The 17,694-nt window shown below is 50.0% G+C and overlaps 1 protein-coding gene across 5 annotated transcripts in view, besides 9 other annotated features; it reads left to right on the forward strand.

Annotated features, from left to right (window-relative positions):
• NOP9 (NOP9 nucleolar protein) overlaps positions 1–17,694 on the forward strand; it is a 37,922-nt gene that overhangs the window by 898 nt on the left and 19,330 nt on the right. The window lies entirely within an intron of this gene.
• Positions 1,723–1,782: an enhancer, noted in NCBI's record as "active region_8206". NCBI's record gives its function as "activates an Ori minimal core promoter by ATAC-STARR-seq in GM12878 lymphoblastoid cells {active_cell/tissue: GM12878}" and the evidence as "EXISTENCE:reporter gene assay evidence [ECO:0000049][PMID:35858748]".
• Positions 1,823–1,952: an enhancer, noted in NCBI's record as "active region_8207". NCBI's record gives its function as "activates an Ori minimal core promoter by ATAC-STARR-seq in GM12878 lymphoblastoid cells {active_cell/tissue: GM12878}" and the evidence as "EXISTENCE:reporter gene assay evidence [ECO:0000049][PMID:35858748]".
• Positions 2,303–2,402: an enhancer, noted in NCBI's record as "active region_8208". NCBI's record gives its function as "activates an Ori minimal core promoter by ATAC-STARR-seq in GM12878 lymphoblastoid cells {active_cell/tissue: GM12878}" and the evidence as "EXISTENCE:reporter gene assay evidence [ECO:0000049][PMID:35858748]".
• Positions 2,493–2,592: an enhancer, noted in NCBI's record as "active region_8209". NCBI's record gives its function as "activates an Ori minimal core promoter by ATAC-STARR-seq in GM12878 lymphoblastoid cells {active_cell/tissue: GM12878}" and the evidence as "EXISTENCE:reporter gene assay evidence [ECO:0000049][PMID:35858748]".
• Positions 6,557–6,787: a silencer, noted in NCBI's record as "fragment chr14:24747863-24748093 (GRCh37/hg19 assembly coordinates)". NCBI's record gives its function as "represses an EF-1alpha promoter that drives an FKBP-Casp9 reporter gene in an ReSE screen in phorbol 12-myristate 13-acetate-treated (for megakaryocytic differentiation) K562 erythroleukemia cells {active_cell/tissue: K562(+PMA)}" and the evidence as "EXISTENCE:reporter gene assay evidence [ECO:0000049][PMID:32094911]".
• Positions 7,345–7,494: an enhancer, noted in NCBI's record as "active region_8210". NCBI's record gives its function as "activates an Ori minimal core promoter by ATAC-STARR-seq in GM12878 lymphoblastoid cells {active_cell/tissue: GM12878}" and the evidence as "EXISTENCE:reporter gene assay evidence [ECO:0000049][PMID:35858748]".
• Positions 7,835–7,914: an enhancer, noted in NCBI's record as "active region_8211". NCBI's record gives its function as "activates an Ori minimal core promoter by ATAC-STARR-seq in GM12878 lymphoblastoid cells {active_cell/tissue: GM12878}" and the evidence as "EXISTENCE:reporter gene assay evidence [ECO:0000049][PMID:35858748]".
• Positions 17,498–17,547: an enhancer, noted in NCBI's record as "active region_8212". NCBI's record gives its function as "activates an Ori minimal core promoter by ATAC-STARR-seq in GM12878 lymphoblastoid cells {active_cell/tissue: GM12878}" and the evidence as "EXISTENCE:reporter gene assay evidence [ECO:0000049][PMID:35858748]".
• Positions 17,578–17,627: an enhancer, noted in NCBI's record as "active region_8213". NCBI's record gives its function as "activates an Ori minimal core promoter by ATAC-STARR-seq in GM12878 lymphoblastoid cells {active_cell/tissue: GM12878}" and the evidence as "EXISTENCE:reporter gene assay evidence [ECO:0000049][PMID:35858748]".

The following is a 17,694-nucleotide window of genomic DNA, read 5'->3' on the forward strand; positions in this document are numbered from 1 at the left end:
TAAGCCTTCAACTGCTTCGAGTTGGAGCTCCTCAGAGCTGTTTTGGCCCACAAATCTGGCATTACACTTTCTCTGGGTGAGTTCATCCACACTCATTGTTTTAATTACTACCTGTAAATTGATGACACCCAAATTTATATCTCCAGCCCAGATGTCTTGCAAGCTTAAATAACAATAAATAATATACATGCACATACATATTCAAACACCTGTTGGATATCACCTGGTGTCCCAGAGACACCTCAAACTCCAAAAGCCAAAAGGTATAAATTATCTTTCATCCATCCTGTCTAAACATTGGCCTTTATGTTTTCTATTGTAGTGAATGGCACTATTTCCTCCTCACTTCTTAAACTCGCTTAAATACTCTTTCTCTTCCCACTGCCACTAGGAGTTCAAACTCCGAATTTCTTCTCCAGATTGTTGAAAGTCTTTTCAGTGTTCTCCACCTCATCCCTTGTTATCAGTCCATCCTCTGTGCTACTGAATCCATTTTTCTAAAATGCAGATTTGACGTCATATCTGTGCCTAAAAGTGCTGAGTGGCTCCTTTTCAGGATAGAATTGTAATCTCTCAGCTCAGCACATCAGACCTATTGGCATTTGGGCTCTGCCTACTCTCTGGCTGTATATCCTGCCTGACCCTGCCAAAAACTCTTCATGACAGCCTACAGAAATACTTGCAGTTTCCTAAATATGTTAGCCTGTTCCCTCTTGACTCTCCTTTCTCCACACTCCTCCTTTGCCACAGTAATTCCTGTTTATCTTTAAGATTTAACTTTTTGAACTCCACAGTACAAAGAAAAAAAAATGTAACTCAAGTGGCACCTCGAGGAAGTTCTCTAAAATGCCCCAGTCTGATTTGATAGACCTTCATATGTACTTTTAAAGACTGTGATTTTTTTCCCTGTGCCTACTGCAAAGAAGGTTTTCTGGTGGAGCCTTTATGAGGTTCAGGGTGGCTAGTGAGTGTGTGTGTACCACACGTACACGTGTGTGATGTCTTTGCGAATAGTGTGTCCATGTGGCATGTGTGTGTTTATAACTCACACCTGGGTAAGAAGGTAGTGCTTTAAATTTTTTTTTTTTTTTTTTTTGAGACAGGGTCTCACTCTGTTGCCCAGGCAGGAGTGCAGTGGCACGATCTCTGCTTACTGCAACCTCTGCCTCCTGGGTTCAAGCGATTCTCCTGCCTCAGCCTCTGGAGTAGCTGGGACTACAGGCATGCACCACCACACCCGACTGATTTTTGTAGTTTTAGAAGAGACGGGGTTTCACCATGTTGGCCAGGCTGGTCTCAAACTCCTGACTTCAGGTGATCTGCCCACCTTGGCCTCCCAGAGTGCTGGGATTACAGGTGTGAGCCACCATGCCCCGCCAGTGCTTTAAATCTTTATATATCCTTCACACCTCTCTCAGCCCCTGGAAATGTATGTAAAGTGTCCATTATATACTTGTCCTTTCCTAGATCCTATAACAAATTCTCGAAAAGAGACATTTTTCCTATCCCTGTGTATTTGTAGTCCCAGTGAGGAAAGAGTTAAGCCATTTATTGGTTCTCTTTGTGCCAGCCACTGTGATGGGAGTTTTGCATACATAGGAGGGATGTGCACACACACAGAATTACAGGTAGGAGGCAGTAAGCAGAGTGATTAAGAACATGGATCCTGGAGCCAGACTGCCTGGCTACAAATCCTAGCTTTGCCACTTGCTTGTCCCAGTGTGACCTGGGGCAAGTTACTTAACTTCTGTATTGCGTTTCCTCTATGTCTGAATTTCTTCAACAGTAACATAGGAAAAATATTATCTAGCTGCTGCAGTTGAAGTTAATCTGTTGAAGTTAAGCTGAAATAAAAGAATCTATGTAAAGTGCTTAGAATAGTGTCTGTACTAAGTAAGGGCTCAGTATAGTAATAGGAAGCTGAGGCTCAGAAAGATTAAGTAACTTGTTGAGGGCCACCCATGTAATAAGTGGCCAAATGGGACCTGTGTCTAGTCTGGTCCAGCCCTCCCACCTCACCACCAGCCTTCTTTTGTTGGTGGTCACCTCCTTCTCTAGCTTCCTGCTCTGTGCACACTCATAGGCGCAACCAGATACTTGGGAACACAGATGCCCTCAAGTGCAGATTTGCCAGGTACAGCCTTGCATCATAGTCACTAATCACATTGTGATTAGCAATCTTGAAACTGGGAAGGTTGAGTCAAGCAGGCTTAAGAGAGGAAGTGAGTCTCATGAAAAAATCTGCATCAGAGAAGGCAGGGCTTGAGTTTTGGAAAGAGCGGGCAGGAAGGGTATTTCAGGTATGTAATATGACGTGAAGGTGGGGGAGAGAAAGCCAAACTAACTTAGCTGGCTGGCACAGAGAGGCTGAGCCAGGTGCCTTTGGAGATAAGAGCAGTGGAACTGATGATAATAAGCCTCTTGCTTGAAGGCAAAAGGAGTTGTCAGGAGTTATATTTGGCCTCCTATGTGGGATAAGTGGGAACCATGCAGGTGTCTGAGAGCCACAATCTTTTTTTTTTTTTTTTGAGACGGAGTCTCGTTCTGTCACCCACGCTGGAGTAGTGGTGCGGTGTCTGCTCACTGCCAGCTCTGCCTCCCAGGTTCATGCCATTCTCCTGCCTCAGCCTCCTGAGTAGCTGGGACTACAGGCGCCTGCCACCCTGCCCAGCTAATTTTTTGTATTTTTAGTAGAGACGGGGTTTCACCTTGTTAGCCAGGATGGTCTCGATCTCCTGACCTCGTGATCTGCCTGCCTCGGCCTCCCAAAGTGCTAGGATTACAGGCGTGAGCCACCATGTCCGGCTTTTTTTTTTTTTTTTTTTTTGAGACAAATTTTGCTTTTGTTGCCCAGGCTGGAATGATGCAATGGCACCATCTTGGCTCACTGCAACTTGTGCCTCCCGGGTTCAAGCGATTCTCCTGCCTCAGTCTCCCGAGTAGCTGGGATTACAGGCATGCACCACCATGCCCAGCTAATTTTGTATTTTTTGTAGAGACAGGGTTTCTCCTTGTTGGTCAGGCTGGTCTTGAACTCCCGACCTCAGGTGAGCTGCCTGCCTCGGCCTCCCAAAGTGCTGGGATTATAGGCGTGAGCCACCGTGCCCTGAAAGCCACAATCTAAATGATGTTTGAAGAAGAGATTTTTACTGCCCTCTATGTATAGAAAGAAACAAACAGTAATTGAGTATCAACAGAGCCCCAGACATCTTATTTACTGCACTCACTACCTATATGAAATAGGTATTATCCATATTTTACAATGAAGCAACAGGGAATACAGTGGGTTTGCAGAGGTTAGTTTCTTGTCCAAAGTCACACATCTTCGAGATTCAGAATTGAGTCGGCTGTATAGGTGAGAGTGACCATTGCCAGAGGCCTGAACCTGAGTTTCTTGAGACCTGGAACCCTGGCGTCTTTCCACCCCTGCCAATTCTTTCTCTACTCCTGCTCCCAACATACATACACAGAAGCACACACACATAGTCACTTACAATGGCTCCAGGACCCTGAGCCCGTCACAGACCAGAGAGTCTGGAGGGAGGAAAGGGGGCCACGAGCCCTGGGTCAGGGCCCTGGGCCAGGGCCCTGGGTCAAAGCTTGGCTAGAAGCCATGGTCTGACGGCAGGGGGAGCAAGTGCGAGACAGGTAATGGAGCTGTCTCCGGGCCATGTGCAGTGTGTGGTAGTGTGTGCATTTATTCAGTCTCTTGATGTTCAGCATCAGTGCTGGGCCTCACAGCATGTTGGGTGCCAGGGATCCAGTAGTGGACCAGAAAGACAAGTCTCTGTCTTCCAGAGCTTACAGTGGCGTGTAGCACTGTCCGATAGAACTTTCTGTGACAATGGAAGTGTTTGGTATCTGTGTCATCTAACACGGTTGACAGTAGCCCCATGTGACTGCTAAGCGCTTGAAATGTGCCTAGTGCAATTGAGGAACTGAATTTTTCATTTTTTTTCATTTTAATTAACTTAAAAATTTTTTTTTGGCCACGGGCCAGCTGTAATGCTGTAGTGCTGTAGTCCCAGCACTTTGGGAGGCCGAGGCAGGCGGATCACTTGAGGTCAGGAGTTGGAGACCAGCCTGTCCAACACAGTGAAATGCCATCTCTACTAAAAATACAAAAATTAGCTGGGCGTGGTGGTACGTGCCTGTAGTCCCAGCTACATGGGAGGCTGAGGCAGGAGAATCGTTTGAGCCTAGGAGGTGGAGGTTGCAGTGAGCTGAGGTCATGCCACTGCACTCTAGCCTGGGAAACAGAGCAAGACTCGGTCTCAAAAAAAAAAAAAAAATAGGTGGGACTACAGGCACACACCCAGCTAATTTTTAAAAATTAGCCCATGCCTGGCAAATTTAAAAAAAAATTATTTTTAGAGACAGGATCTTTCTATATTGCCCAGGCTGGTCTCCAACTCCTGGCCTCCAAGCAATCATCCTGCCTCAGCCTCCCAAAGTGCTGGGACTGCAGGCATGAGCCACCGCACCTGGCCTAATTTAAATGTAAATAACTGCATGGGGCTAGTGGCTAGTATTGGACAGAGCAGGTCTCTTGGGTGAGACACGTAAGATGGAGTAGGACAGGGGCCCATGAGGGCCCACAGAAGGGACACCTCACCCAGACTCAGGTTAAGAAGAACTTGTTTTAGATCTGGTGATTGTAACGGTTTACATTTTTTTCTGTTTAACTTTTGATGCTTACTCTATTCTTCTATAAAACTTGTCACTGAGGCATAATGTATTATACTGAAAGTGCACAAATCACAGATGTGCAGCTCTGATCCTCCTATTTTAAAACTCTCCCAGACACAGGTATGGGTAAAAGGTTTAGTGGGGGACGGGAGACACAGAACGGAGGTAAATGTGGGGAAGGAGGTTAGAAAACCCCCTCTTCAGGGATGATCTGGCAGAACCTAGAATCCACATGAATGTCCCTGTGGCTGTGGGGGGGCAGTGGGCATGGAGAGTGAGGATGGAGAAGGACTATTTCTGAGGACCAGTAGGCAGGATTTGGTAGCAGGTGAGACTAAGATGCAGGGACGAAGGGAACTGGGAGGAAGGCTTGCAGTTGTAAAGCTGAGGACTTGAGAATTTGTGGTGTCCACAGAGGTCCTAGAACATGGGCGTGGGGAGGGATGGTTGCATGAGAAGAGGAAGGGCTACTTCTCACATGTTTGGTTTTGATGTGGAGATGTCCTGAGGCAACAAGAAATCCTTGCCTGGAGAGAGGCTGAGAGGTCAAGGCAGAAGAAGTCAGCGTGGGCGTCAGGTGTGCGCAGGTAGTCATTACACCCAGCAGAGAATGGGTGCTCTGGGGAGAGGGGAGGTGAGGGAACCCACAAACAAGCTTTGATAGAGCGTGGTGAGGGCAGGGCTGAGGGTGTGGGGTGGAGAAGCCTCAGTGGAGGGCAAAAGAAGAAATGGACAACGAAGAGAGGAGAACTTCTGTGCTCCCGAAGCCATAATTAATGAGAAATTATAATGACTGAATACTTTATAGCCATGATGGCAAGAAACTGAAGCTCTGCCCGAGGCCGCACAGCCAGAAGCAATAAAGCCTGGCCTTGTGCTCAGGCTGATTCCAGAAGACGCTTTCTTGCTGGCTTTCCCTCCAGCCTTGCCCACCATGCTTTGCTGGAGCCGGCCAGGGCCAGGACTGTGGGAGGAGGGTGGAAGGAGGCATCCAGAGACCTCTGGGAATCTTGGGTGGGGGTGCTGGATGCTGGCCTTGTGGGGAAGCGGGGCCAGCAAGGGGAGGCAACTCAGGCCAGATGGTCTGGATCTAATCTTGGGACCCAGATGAAATCAAATATTGGGAAATCTGAGTCCCAGCACAAGTTGGGGTCAAGAAAATGAAAGGGGAAGAGCAGCGCTGGGTGCCTGCCACGTGTCAGTGATAGCAGAGTTGAAGCTTCCCCATGGCACAAGCAGAAGTGCCCAATTCTTATCTCTTGCAACAGGGACTTCCTCTGCCCCCAGCTTCCTGATTCTTTATAACTCTGACCATCGCAGAGCACAGCGTTATAGCGAGACAGGGCATGATGGATCCCCAGCAGCCCAGAGATACTCAGTGAAGTCACATACCCGGAGGTGGGGCCAGTGAAGTCACATACCTGGAGGTGGGGCCAGGTTTGGAAACCAGGTTTTCAAATGACTATCTTAGTGCTTTTGCACCCATCAGCTCTATCTTAGGATATGTTGAGCAACAAAATGGTGAACTGTGGGGGTGCTGGTGGGATAGTAGATATGGTTGTAACGGATAGGACATCCATCACCAAATAATATGAATTAATGTGTCTTTGTCAACCTGGAGGGAGGTCCCTAGTGATGGCACTTTTTCAGTGACGTGGGATGAGCACAGATGCCACTCTCATAATCGAAGGTCACTTGCACATAATTGGGAGGAATACTGGATGATGGCGTCTGGTGAGATTGTTGGGCCAGATTTGTCATGTGGTATTGAATAGGGACAGAATTACACTCTGGTTCTTTGGTCTTCAGATAATCAGCTGCACAAGAGTGAGATACGTGAGGGGTGGAATAACGATAGTGTATGAAGACAGGAGGACTCTGGCTGATAAGAGATTGGAAAGAATTGACTGTGATCTGCTTGCCAAAAGCACTAACATGACTTTGGGATGCACTAAGAGAGCTTTAGTACCCAGAACAATGGGGCTCATAGGCCCCAGACTCTGTGAGAGTCAAACCCTGTGAGGAGTGTGTGGCCCATTTTGAGAGGGACAGAGACAAACTGTAGAGTCCAGAGGTAGAAATCAGGATGGTGAGAAGAGCCCATGACCACAGGGAAGACATGAAGATACTGAACTGGGAGAGAAGATTCAAGGGGCAGATGATAATGGTCTTTCAACTCCTGGAATAGAAACCGAATTGATTCTGCATATCTTGAGAGCAAAGACCAAAGACCAGAGAGTGGATGTAGATCCTTTATGAGGAAGGACTTTCTAATAATTAAAGCTAATTATTCTACCAAAGGTAGAATGGGCCTCAATGAGAGGTGGGAGGCATTCAAGCATATGTTGGTCAACCACTTTGTGAGAACGTAGTAGTGGACATTCAGAGACCAGAGTCTCTCCACTCTGAAGTTCTGAAAGATGCTGATCCCTGGGATGGAGCAGGGGACTAGAGTAACTCAGAGCCCAAGAAGATCCTCTCCACTGCCCATTCCCCACAACTGACCATTCCTTGGACACTTGGTTTGAATGCTTGCATTCTTTCTCTTCTCCCTGCTCCCCAGTTCCTTCTGAGTCAGGCTGGGGAAATTGCTTGATGGCCCATGGGGGTTGCCACGTGCCTGTAGCACACTTCCTGGCTGGGGAAGAAGACGAAACAGGTTAGCCAGTGAGAAGGGAGGGCAGGTCCCCAAGGTTGCCCTAAAAGACAGAAGGGCCCCAGAGGGAAAGTCCCCACAAGAGCATTCTAACTCTCCCAGGGTGTGGTGGGTACTGACTCAGGTTGGCGTCTCTTGGGGAAGAGTTGAGGGAAAAGCAACCAAGAAATGGTGTTGAAAAGCTGGAAAAACTTCTTGAGCCAGCCAGAACTGAAGCCTCTGTGACAGGAGCCAGGCACTGCATGGTGACTGGTGATGATAATGACATGTTGGCTAAAAATTGCCCAGAGCACTGGTGGAGGTGGGAATGTAGCCAAGAAGCTCACTGCCTGGCAAGGCTGCTGCCCAGCTGCAGGGGGCACCATCACATTCGGTTTTGGGCATATATGATGTGAGTGGTACCAGGAGGCAGAAGCCCTGACGTTCTATGTCAAGTGAGAAGCAGAAGCTGTGGAACAAAGTGAGACTGTGGGTCCTGGGGAAGGATGGGATGCTGTCGCTGGTAGATGAACACAGGGGGCTAAGGACATACTCCTCTAGGGGAGGAAAGAGGAACCGCTCCTTTTGGGGGAGCACTCAGGCCTCGCCCTTTCCCTGTCCCATTCATCCATCCAACAAATACTGACTGAGGGCCCTCTGTGCCTGATCCACGCTAGGGTGGGGGCTGCGACAGTGAGCAGAGCACAGACAAAGTCCCTGCCTCACTGAGCATACAGGCTAGCCCTGGGCTGTTTAATCGAACTTTCTGGATGATGGAAATAATCACATAAGCAAATGTAGAAGGACAACTCTGTCAACTGCTCTGCCTTTATGGAGAGGCATATGGTGCTGGGTGAGCACCTGATGGGGAGCTGCCCTGTCTGAGAATGGGGGTGGGCTTCCTAAAGGAAGTGAGTGGGAGCTGGGGCTGTAGGTGAGCAGAAGCCCTGGCTTGGGGCTCGGTCAAGTGCCTCTTCTGTTCCTCTCAGCACCAGGTCCTGTGGTGCCTGCATTATAGCTCATCCTGTGGGTGCAGCGCCCCACTTCTGCTCCTGCTGTGAACTACCTACCCAAGGGGACTCATTTGACTGCATTTCCTCTCACCTAGCAAGGTGCCTGCACCATGGTGGTTGCTCAACTAACGTTAACATAATTTAGCCAGTCAATTATCAACCAACAATTATTGAGCGCCAGTACAGCTCAATATACAGTGGTGACCAAGACAGACAAGGTCCCTGCTGTCATAGGGCTTACATTATAGTTGGGGAGACAGTCCCTGTAGGAGCAAATACACACCTAAGACAATTTCAGGGAATCTAAGTGCCCCTGAGGGAAATGAAACAGGGTATTGAGACTAGTTGGGAAAGAATGAATGAATGAATAAATGGTGAGCCATGGAGGCACCCACCCACTGGGCTGGGGTGGGAGATGAGGAGGAGGAGTTGGGGATCTTAGAGCCCAGGGCAGGGAGCTTGGTCAGGGGTGGCTGCACTCCAGGCTGTAGGGCCAGGCCTCGCAGCACCGGGAGGGAGTGGACAGGGAGTGGTTCCGAAGCTCAGAATTCAGTGTAAAGGAGAATGCCTGGAACTGCTGACAGGAGCAATGCTGTGTTCCTGAGTCCCCTGTGGGCCCAATCATGACTCAGGCTTGAGCTCTGTGCCTGGCAAAGAACACTGAGGGGAAGAGGGGCAGGGAGGACCTGGAGTAGCCCTACAGAGGCATCCAAGGCTCCCACTGCTGGCAGCCCTGTTGGGAAATTCTCTCTTAGGCCCCTGAGCGGGGGTTTTGAGGCTGAGGTGTGGTGTGTGGGGCCGAGGCCAAGGACCGATGGATAGCAGGGATCAATGAGTCCTTAGAGGGTCAGTCCTGGGATACAGACACTGCCATGGCTGGCCCAGCATACCTCCCCTCAGGGAGGAAGGGTGGAGCTCTCACCAATTGGTCTCACTGGGCCTGTGAGTTCAGCCACACTCTGGGTTTGCCCCAGGTACTGTGCAGTTCTGTGCTGAAGGTTTCAAAGTTTCTGTGCATGGGGAAGGAGACAGCAGGAGAATGGGGGATGAAGGGTTCAAGACCTAATCCCTAACTTTGGGAAGGAGTCATCCTTATCCAGGAAATGGATGAAGACATCTATGGCTCTAACACTAGTCAAGAGCCAAGTGAATTTCATAGTAAGAGGTTCCCTGGAAGCGGGCAAAGCAAGGGTAGAAGACGCCAGGAGAAACTTCTAGGAGGTTGAGATGGGCCTGGCTGGATGAATTCTGGCAGGCAAAATGGGGTTGGGGGCTGGGTGAAAGAATGAGCAGTAATCCAGAGATCAGAACAGCTGGAGCAAAGGCGCAGAGGAAAGGGAGTGTGGTCAAGTTTAGGGAAGAGTAAGGCTCAATGTGGCCAAGAGGAACTTAGGCTGGGTGAGCTTGGGAAAGCTTTCACCATTCTGCCCAGTCCCCAACCCTTCCTCTACCCAAAGTAGAAGGCCTCCAAAGTCAAAACCAAACCAGAGGCCGGCACAGTGGCTCACGCCTGTAATCCCAGCATTTTGGGAGGCCAAGGCGGGCGGATCACTTGAGGCCAGGAGCTTGAGACCAGCCTGGGAAACCCCGTCTCTACTAAAAATACAAAAATTAGCCAGGCATGATGTAATTCCATGCTACTGGGGAGGCTGAGACAGGAGAATTGCTGAACCCAGGAGGCGGAGGTTGTAGTGAGCCGAGATAGCGCCACTGCACTCCAGCCTGGGCAACAGAGTGAGACTCTGTCTCAAAAACCAAACCAAACAAAACCAGACACAAGAAAGCAGAAGCAGCATGATGCAGGGGAAAGAGCTCACACTTTTATGCAGAGTTATACAGATTTGGTCGAATCCAGACTCTCGCTGTAAAGCCTTGCAATCCTGGATAAGTTACTTAGAATTTCTGAGCCTCAGTTTCCTCAGCTGTAAAAGAGTACTTACCTCATGTGGCAGATGAAAAGAGTAGGGCCTAGGTAGAGTGTTTGGGCGTTGCAGGTGCCCAATAAACCTGAATTCTCTCAGCCCCTACAATAACACAGGTCTCTGATGATAGGGTGTTAATGTGACAGTGAAGGGCCAAAGCCAAGGCACCTTTGCTCCCTCTTGCTTGAGGCCCTCTAGGGATGCTCAGGCTGTGTCTGTTCTGGCTTTGCGCGTTTCTTCTGGAACTGCCTCTCTAATGAGGAGGTAGCCAAGACCTCCTTACTCACCAATATGGGGCATATGTGTTGGTACTTGCTAATAGAAATTGCACAAAGCCGGGCCCACTTCCTCCCTTTGCCTACTTCCCAGCATTCCTCATGGGCTCCTCCATTCTCAAGGGTCTACAGAAGGGTCCTTATGTCCTCCAGATTCACCACTATCAAGCACAAGCAGCTTCCAGTTCCTCTCCACTGCTGGCATTTAAGTCCAGGTGGCTGGCGATCCCTTGGCCTTGCTTCAAGCTGAGCCTGAGCCTGCACCTGGACTCTGGCTGAGGAAACTATTCGCCCCCACAGCTGGCCCACTGCTGAGTTCCCCGGGAGGCTTGGAGCAGAGGGCAGTGGGCAGCAGCATCCCACTGAGAACTGCAGAACTCTCAGCACATGACAACTCTGTCCAAACCTCTGAACTAAGAGACTTGACCAACTCTAGATTGGCTTTTAGCAGCACAAGGCTGTATCCCTAGGATGGCCCCAGCCCCTCTTAAAGTGCTGTCTTGAGAAAGCTCAGTGCTGCCAGAAAAATTTATTATTTGTTCCAGCCAACACCTGATGATAGGCCCCTGACCTCACTTTCTTAGAACATTTGGCTCAAAATGGCTTGCCATTGTACATATGTATCTCTTGCAACTCAAAAGCATCAGGTCTTCCTTTAAAATCTAGTCATCAAGGCCAGGCATGGTGGCTCACGCTGTAATCCCAGCACTTTGGGAGGCTGAGGCGGGCAGATCACTTGAGGCCAGGAGTTCAAGACCAGCTTGGGCAACATGCCAAAACTCTGTCTCTACTAAAAATACAAAAAAAAAAAAAAACTTAACCAGGCATGGTTGTACATTCCTATAGTCCCAGCTACTCAGGGGGCTGAGGTGGGAGGATCCCTTGAGCTGGGGAGGTACAGGTTGCAGTGAGCTGAGATCGCACCACCCACTGAACTCCAGCTCACGCTACAGAGTGAGACCCTGCCTCAATAAATAAATAAATAAAGGACAGAGCCCTAACTTAGGTACATGCCAGCCAGAGACAGAGAGACAGCTGGCCTCATTCCATTCACTCTGAGGCTTTGCTAACCCCCTGCCTCCTCCCTTGACAGCTCCCAGATCACCTGTGCACAAATCAGAATGGAGCTCAGCTCTTTCCCCTACTGTCAGTAGTTACTGAATAAAGCCTGCTTTCACTGCTTTAACTAACATCTGCTATTTCTCTTCGATACCACCTGCAGAAGACCCAGCCCGTGCTCCTCCTTAGCCCCTGCTCAGTCCTGAGGTGACTTCTGCCTCTTCTGCTGCTCAACATGGGGCCCATCAGCCTAGTTAAACCAGCAGCCATGGGGCTCTGAGGAGGACCCCTAGGCCAGGGCACCCATGGGCATGTGTGTTGGGGGGAACTGAGTGGAGTGTCAGGCAGGGAGTCAGGACACACTGAGGGGGCAAGGATGCTCTTGGTTGCCTGCAGGCAGGAGCTGAGACAGAGGTGAGGCTTGACAGAGAAAGGCAGGGATAAGAATGTCCTGTCACCCCCCAGGAAGGTGAAACCTGGATGAAACGAGAGTTGTGTCCAGCCTAGGGAGGTGCCTGGCTGTGGCGACCCCTCCCACTCCTTTGAGTCCCCACCTTGGGTCTTGCCATTGTTGCCTAATGTTTTCATGATGCCAACTGGAAGCACTTTGAGAGCTGGACCTTTGTCTCATAAGGCTTGCCTGTACCCGTCCACCCTGCCCTGCCCAGTGCTGAGCACACAGGAGGCTGCACAAACACCAGCTGACCAGGAGATGGAGGGTTAAAGAGGGGATTAGAGCACAGGGGCCAGTGAGCACAGGCAGGTGATAGGGCTGAGGGGTCAGGAGGAGCAGTGCAAGGAGGGGAAGCCTGAGAAGGTGGGAGCAGTAGGGCCCAGGGGAGTGCGCTTGGTGGGGAGGGTGGGCCAAACTAGGAGGGGAAGACCAGGGACTGGAGGTGATGGGGAGGGGCTGCGGCAAAGGACTTCTGAGGTCATGGGTGGGGCTCTCCCTAGGGATGGGGAGGCCAAAAGTGTAAGGGACCAGATGCTTCAGCGACAGTGCCAAGGCCTTTGGCATGGGTGGTAGGAGACAGATGCCTCAGAGACAGGGCCAAGGCCTTTGGCGGTCGTGGGTGGGTAGGAGCCAGGGTGACAAAGGGAAAGGGCAGCCCTGGGCCCAGCCGCCTGCCTGGGTTTGTCCACTGGGCCCTCGTGTGTGCTCCTCACTCTCTGTGCCTGGATCGCACCCCACTGTCACTCACATCGTCTCCTCACTTCCCTGGCCTGCCAGAGACCTGACCTCCCCTTCTACTCATGGGCCCAAAGGGGACTTCAGGAGCTGATGGAAACTCCTCCTCAGTGACTTGTCCGTAAACCTGGAGTCACTGATACCTCGGTCCAGCCCTGCACCCATCCTCTTCCTGTTTAATGTAGGCCAGTTAGTCAAAGCTCACATTAGTGGGGACACCTGGGGATAGAGGCTCCAAAGCCTCATTTTGATACCTCACAACCCTTGGGCAGTTGTTCTAGAAAGAGGCATCTCCATGTGACATGCATCTCACAGCCATGTTTGGGTCCATATCCTTAGAGGAGACTGGGGCTGGGCCAGGCCGCTCAGGCTGGTCTCTTCTAGGCATTCACACTGCTTCTCTGCTGTCATTAGTCTCTATTTAAGCTGTCACACTTTCCTCTTACCCTCTCTGTTGGTGGGGTAGGGAAGTTTCTGGTGGTGGGAGCAGATGCATTAGGACCTGGGAAGGGGTGGGGGCTCTGGGTGCACTTAGAAGTGTTAGACACAAGGGCCAGAGTGGGCCTGAGACTGGAAATTATGACTCCTCTGCTGGAGAGAGAGGCCCAGATTTGCACGCAGCAAATCTCTTCTCTGAATATCTTAGATGTTTGCTTGTAAGGCATGGGCTGTCTCTGTGGCCACCCAAGAATGCAGTAGCACTGGCTGCCTCCGGGCTGAGGGCAGGGATGAGGAGGAGACTTTTCACTGTGCATCCTTCAATACCTTTTGGATTCTGAGCCATGTGAATGTGTTACCTCTGAAAAATATAAATTAACAGGCTGGGCACGGTAATTTATTACGTGCCTGTAATCCTAGTACTTTGGGAGGCTGAGATAGGCAGATTGCCTGAGCTCAGAAGTTCGAGACCAGCCTGGGCAAGATGGTGAAACCCGGTCTCTACTAAAATACAAAAAATTAGCTGGGCGTGGTGGCAGGCGCCTGTAATCCCAGCTACTCAGGAGGCTGAGGCATGAGAATTGCTTGAACCCAGGAGGTGGAGGTGGCTGTGAGCCAAGATCATGCCACTGCATGCAGCCTGGGCAACAAAGATAAACTGTCAAAAAAAAAAAAAAATTAACAATGCAAAACAAAAATCTCTTCTTCTTTCCCTGGGCTCCTTTGAGGAATTAAGCGTCTTCAGGGACCAGCCAAGAACCTTGACTTGCCTCAGTTGGGGCGGGGCTGCATCTCGGTCAGGCCCTCAGTGCCCCATCAGTGCTACGTCTGGCACACTGGCTTCTCCTTCACTGCTCAGGCACATTCTTTCTTTCTCTGTGCCTGTTGCTGGTTTCATGGCATCCCTCAAGCCAGGGATACCACCACCACAGTCCCACAATAGTCCCAGGTCCCTGTTGACTCTGCCTCCTACAATGTCTCGTCTGCTCACACCTTCACTGCATCACATCCCAGGGATACTGATAGCGGGCCAGCCTTCTGGCTACTCCTCTGGTGTCTGCCTCTCTCCTCCCTCTAGTCCATCCTCCCCATACCTCAGCCCCAGTGAACTTCCAAAATTCAAATCTGATGATTTTACGTTTCTGCTTAAATCCTCCTGCAGCTGACAGTGTTAATGCTCGGCCCAGATCCCTCTTGAATTTTCTTTTTCCATTTTTGTGCATGACACCTCACTCTGTCCTTTCTTTTATTATTTTTTATTTTTATTTTATTTATTTATTTATTTTTTTCGAGACGGAGTCTCGCTCTGTCGCCCAGGCTGGAGTGCAGTGGCACGATCTCGACTCACTGCAAGCTCTGCCTCCCAGGTTCACGCCATTCTCCTGCCTCAGCCTCCCGAGTAGCTGGGACTACAGGTGCCCGCCACCATGCCCAGCTATTTTTTTGTATTTTTAGTAGAGTCGGGGTTTCACCATGTTAGCCAGGATGGTCTCGATCTCCTGACCTCGTGATCCGCCCGTCTCGGCCTCCCAAAGTGCTGGGATTACAGGTGTGTGTGAGCCACCGCGCCCGGCCTATTTTTATTTTTAGACAGAGTCTTGCTCTGTTGCCCAGGCTGGAGTGTAGTGGCGCAATCTCAGCTCACTGCAACCTCTGCCTCCCGGGTTCAAGCGATCCTCCTGCCTCAGCTTCCCGAGAAGCTGGGATTACAGGTGCACGCCACCACACCAGGCTAATTTTTGTATTTTTAGTGCAGATGGGGTTTCACCATGTTGGCCAAGCTGGTCTTGAATGCCTGACCTCAAGTGACCCACCCGCCTCTGCCTCCCAAAAGTGCTGGGATTACAGGTGTGAGTCATCGTGCCCGGTCCCCACTCTGTGCTTTCAAGGCTGGCACCTGCAGCCCTTCTTGGAGGACTGCCTTTGGCCTCCTGGACTGCTTTGCCCTGGGTGGCAGTGTACCCAGTGACTGCTCTGTGGTCACTGAGCACCATTTGCTGGTGGTAGTTTTGGTGGGAATAAAAGCCCAGAAAAACCTTGTCCCAGGCTGGAACTATTCTGAGGCCTTACACACCAAAGCTGTTCCCTCGCATCATGCCAGAGCTGCTTTCTGCAGCTGAGAGGGTGCTCGTGCTTGGCTTCACCAACCCTGCTTACTTGTCTCCCTGGGAGTACTTCATAAATCACTCAGGGTCTAAGGTGGATCCTCAGTGGAAACCTATCACCCACAATTTAAGTCTCAGTCATATATCTTTACTCCACTCTCTCTCTGGAAATGTATTCCATACTGAATCTAAATTTAAGCCACATCAAACTTCTAGCTGTTCTGCTACTTTTGTGTCTCAGTACCTGCCTTTAAAAACAAACAAACAAACAAAAAACCCACCTCCACCCCTCGCCCATCCTTTATGTGTCTGGTTAGTCTCGCCCCCTTCCTCAGTTCTCCAGGCATGCTGCTTCTTTCCTCCTGTGTCCTCAGGGCACTCTGGGTAGTTTACTGCAGCACTCATCTAGCCAAATTCAACTAGTCTTCCCTGGTGTCTTGCATGGGGCTGGGCAGAGAGTTTCAAAAAACAAATGTCTTTGAATGAGTATTGATTCCCCAAAATGTCCTAGTGCTCTCTAGTGTCAGGCTTCCCACATCCTGAATCTCTTCTACCTTCAATCAAAAGTGACTGTTCATGTGCCATTCCCTTGGGTGGTGTACTCTGTGGCTTATGTTTCTAAGATGACTGAAACTTGTCAGAGAGAAGCACAGTGGTCTGCTGTGAATAGCACTATTCCTTCTGGTTTCTTGGGATACCAGGACCGAGGTCTTACTCCACATCTTATGGACTCTTGGGGTCCCAGTTCACTCACTGCCTTCAATAAATGGAAGGTCTAGATGACTTCTAAAATCTCCCATGGCTGAAATGAAAGTCTTTTGTGGGCGGGGGCCTGGTCTGTCTTGCTCTCTGTTCTATCCTGAAGCCAAGAATGGTGCCTGGTGCAGAGCAGGCTGTTAGATTTATTTGTTGAGAGAAGGAATTGACAATTTTTTTTTTTTTGAGATGGAGTCTCACACTGTCACCCAGGCTGGAGTGCAGTGGCGCAATCTCTGCTCACTGCAACCTCTGCCTTCCGGGTTCAAGCGATTCTCCTGCCTCAGCCTCCCGAGTAGCTGGGATTAGAGGCGTGCTCCACCATGCCTGGCTAGTTTTTGTATTTTTATTAGAGATGGGGTTTCACCATGTTGGCCAGGCTGGTCTCGAACTCCTGGCCTCGTGATCTGCCTGCGTCAGCCTCCCAAAGTGCTGGGATTATAGGCGTGAGCCACCGCGCCCGACCAGGAATTGACAATTTCGATGGTTATGTATTGCTTGATGCTGTATATATATTATTTCATTTAATTCTCAAGGTGGTGGAGTCAGGATTTGCATGACAGTTTATATGAGTTTGAAGTCCATGCTTCCCTCATAATATCTTGAGAATTTAGGAGACAATGCCATCATGGAAAGTTTTGTTCCAATGGTGGTTTTTGTTTGTTTGTTTTTTGTTTTTTTGAGACTGGGTCTCACTCTGTTGCTCAGGCTGTAGTGGCGTGATCACGCTCACCAAGTCCTCCCACCTTAGCCTCCTGAGTAGGTGGGACCACAGGTGCATTCCACCACGCCCAGCTAATTTTTTTTTTTTTTAGATGGAGTCTTGCTCAGTCACCCAGGCTGGAGTGCAGTGGCACGATCTCGGCTCACTGCAACCTCCTGGGAGGTGGGTTCATGCCATTCTCCTGCCTCAGCCTCCCGAGTAGCTAGGACTACAGACGCCCGCCACCACGCCCAGCTAATTTTTTTTCTTTGTATTTTTAGTAGAGACGAGGTTTCATCATGTTAGCCAGGATGGTCTCGATCTCCTGACCTCGTGATCCACCTGCCTCGGCCTCCCAAAGTGCTGGGATTACAGGTGTGAGCCACTGTGCCCGGCCCCAGCTAATCTTTAAAAAATTGTTTTGTAGAGATGGGGTCTCCCTATGTTGCCCAGGTTGGTCTCAAACTTCTGGGCTCAAGCGATCCACCTTCCTCAACCTCCCAAGGACTGAGATTACAGGTGTAAACTACTACGCCCAGCCCCATTGGTGGATTTTAATGATGGCTGTGGAAGGCTGGAGGTGGTCCTGAGGCCCATCTTCTTTTTATACCACATAGGCAACTGCCTGTGCTCCTCATCAACCTCAGGAGATAACAGGAATTTAGGCTGGTAAGTGGAAGAGGGTGAGCAGGTGCTGAGGGAATCTGATCACTGTGATCTGCTGCCACAGCAAATGGTGGCATTTAGGCACACAGTTCCAAAGGTTCTATACCAGTCACGTACTGATAAGCCAGCCCTCTCTCTAAAAGAAAGCTTTGATTGGTAGCATTTGTGGACTTTCATGGGACATGTACTGTCGCCATGGCTGATTCAAGACACCACATGAAATCACTGAATGAGGACTTAGAAG

Source organism: Homo sapiens, chromosome 14 (assembly GCF_000001405.40).
Source record: "Homo sapiens chromosome 14, GRCh38.p14 Primary Assembly".
In the NCBI taxonomy this organism is placed as follows: Eukaryota; Metazoa; Chordata; class Mammalia; order Primates; family Hominidae; genus Homo; species Homo sapiens.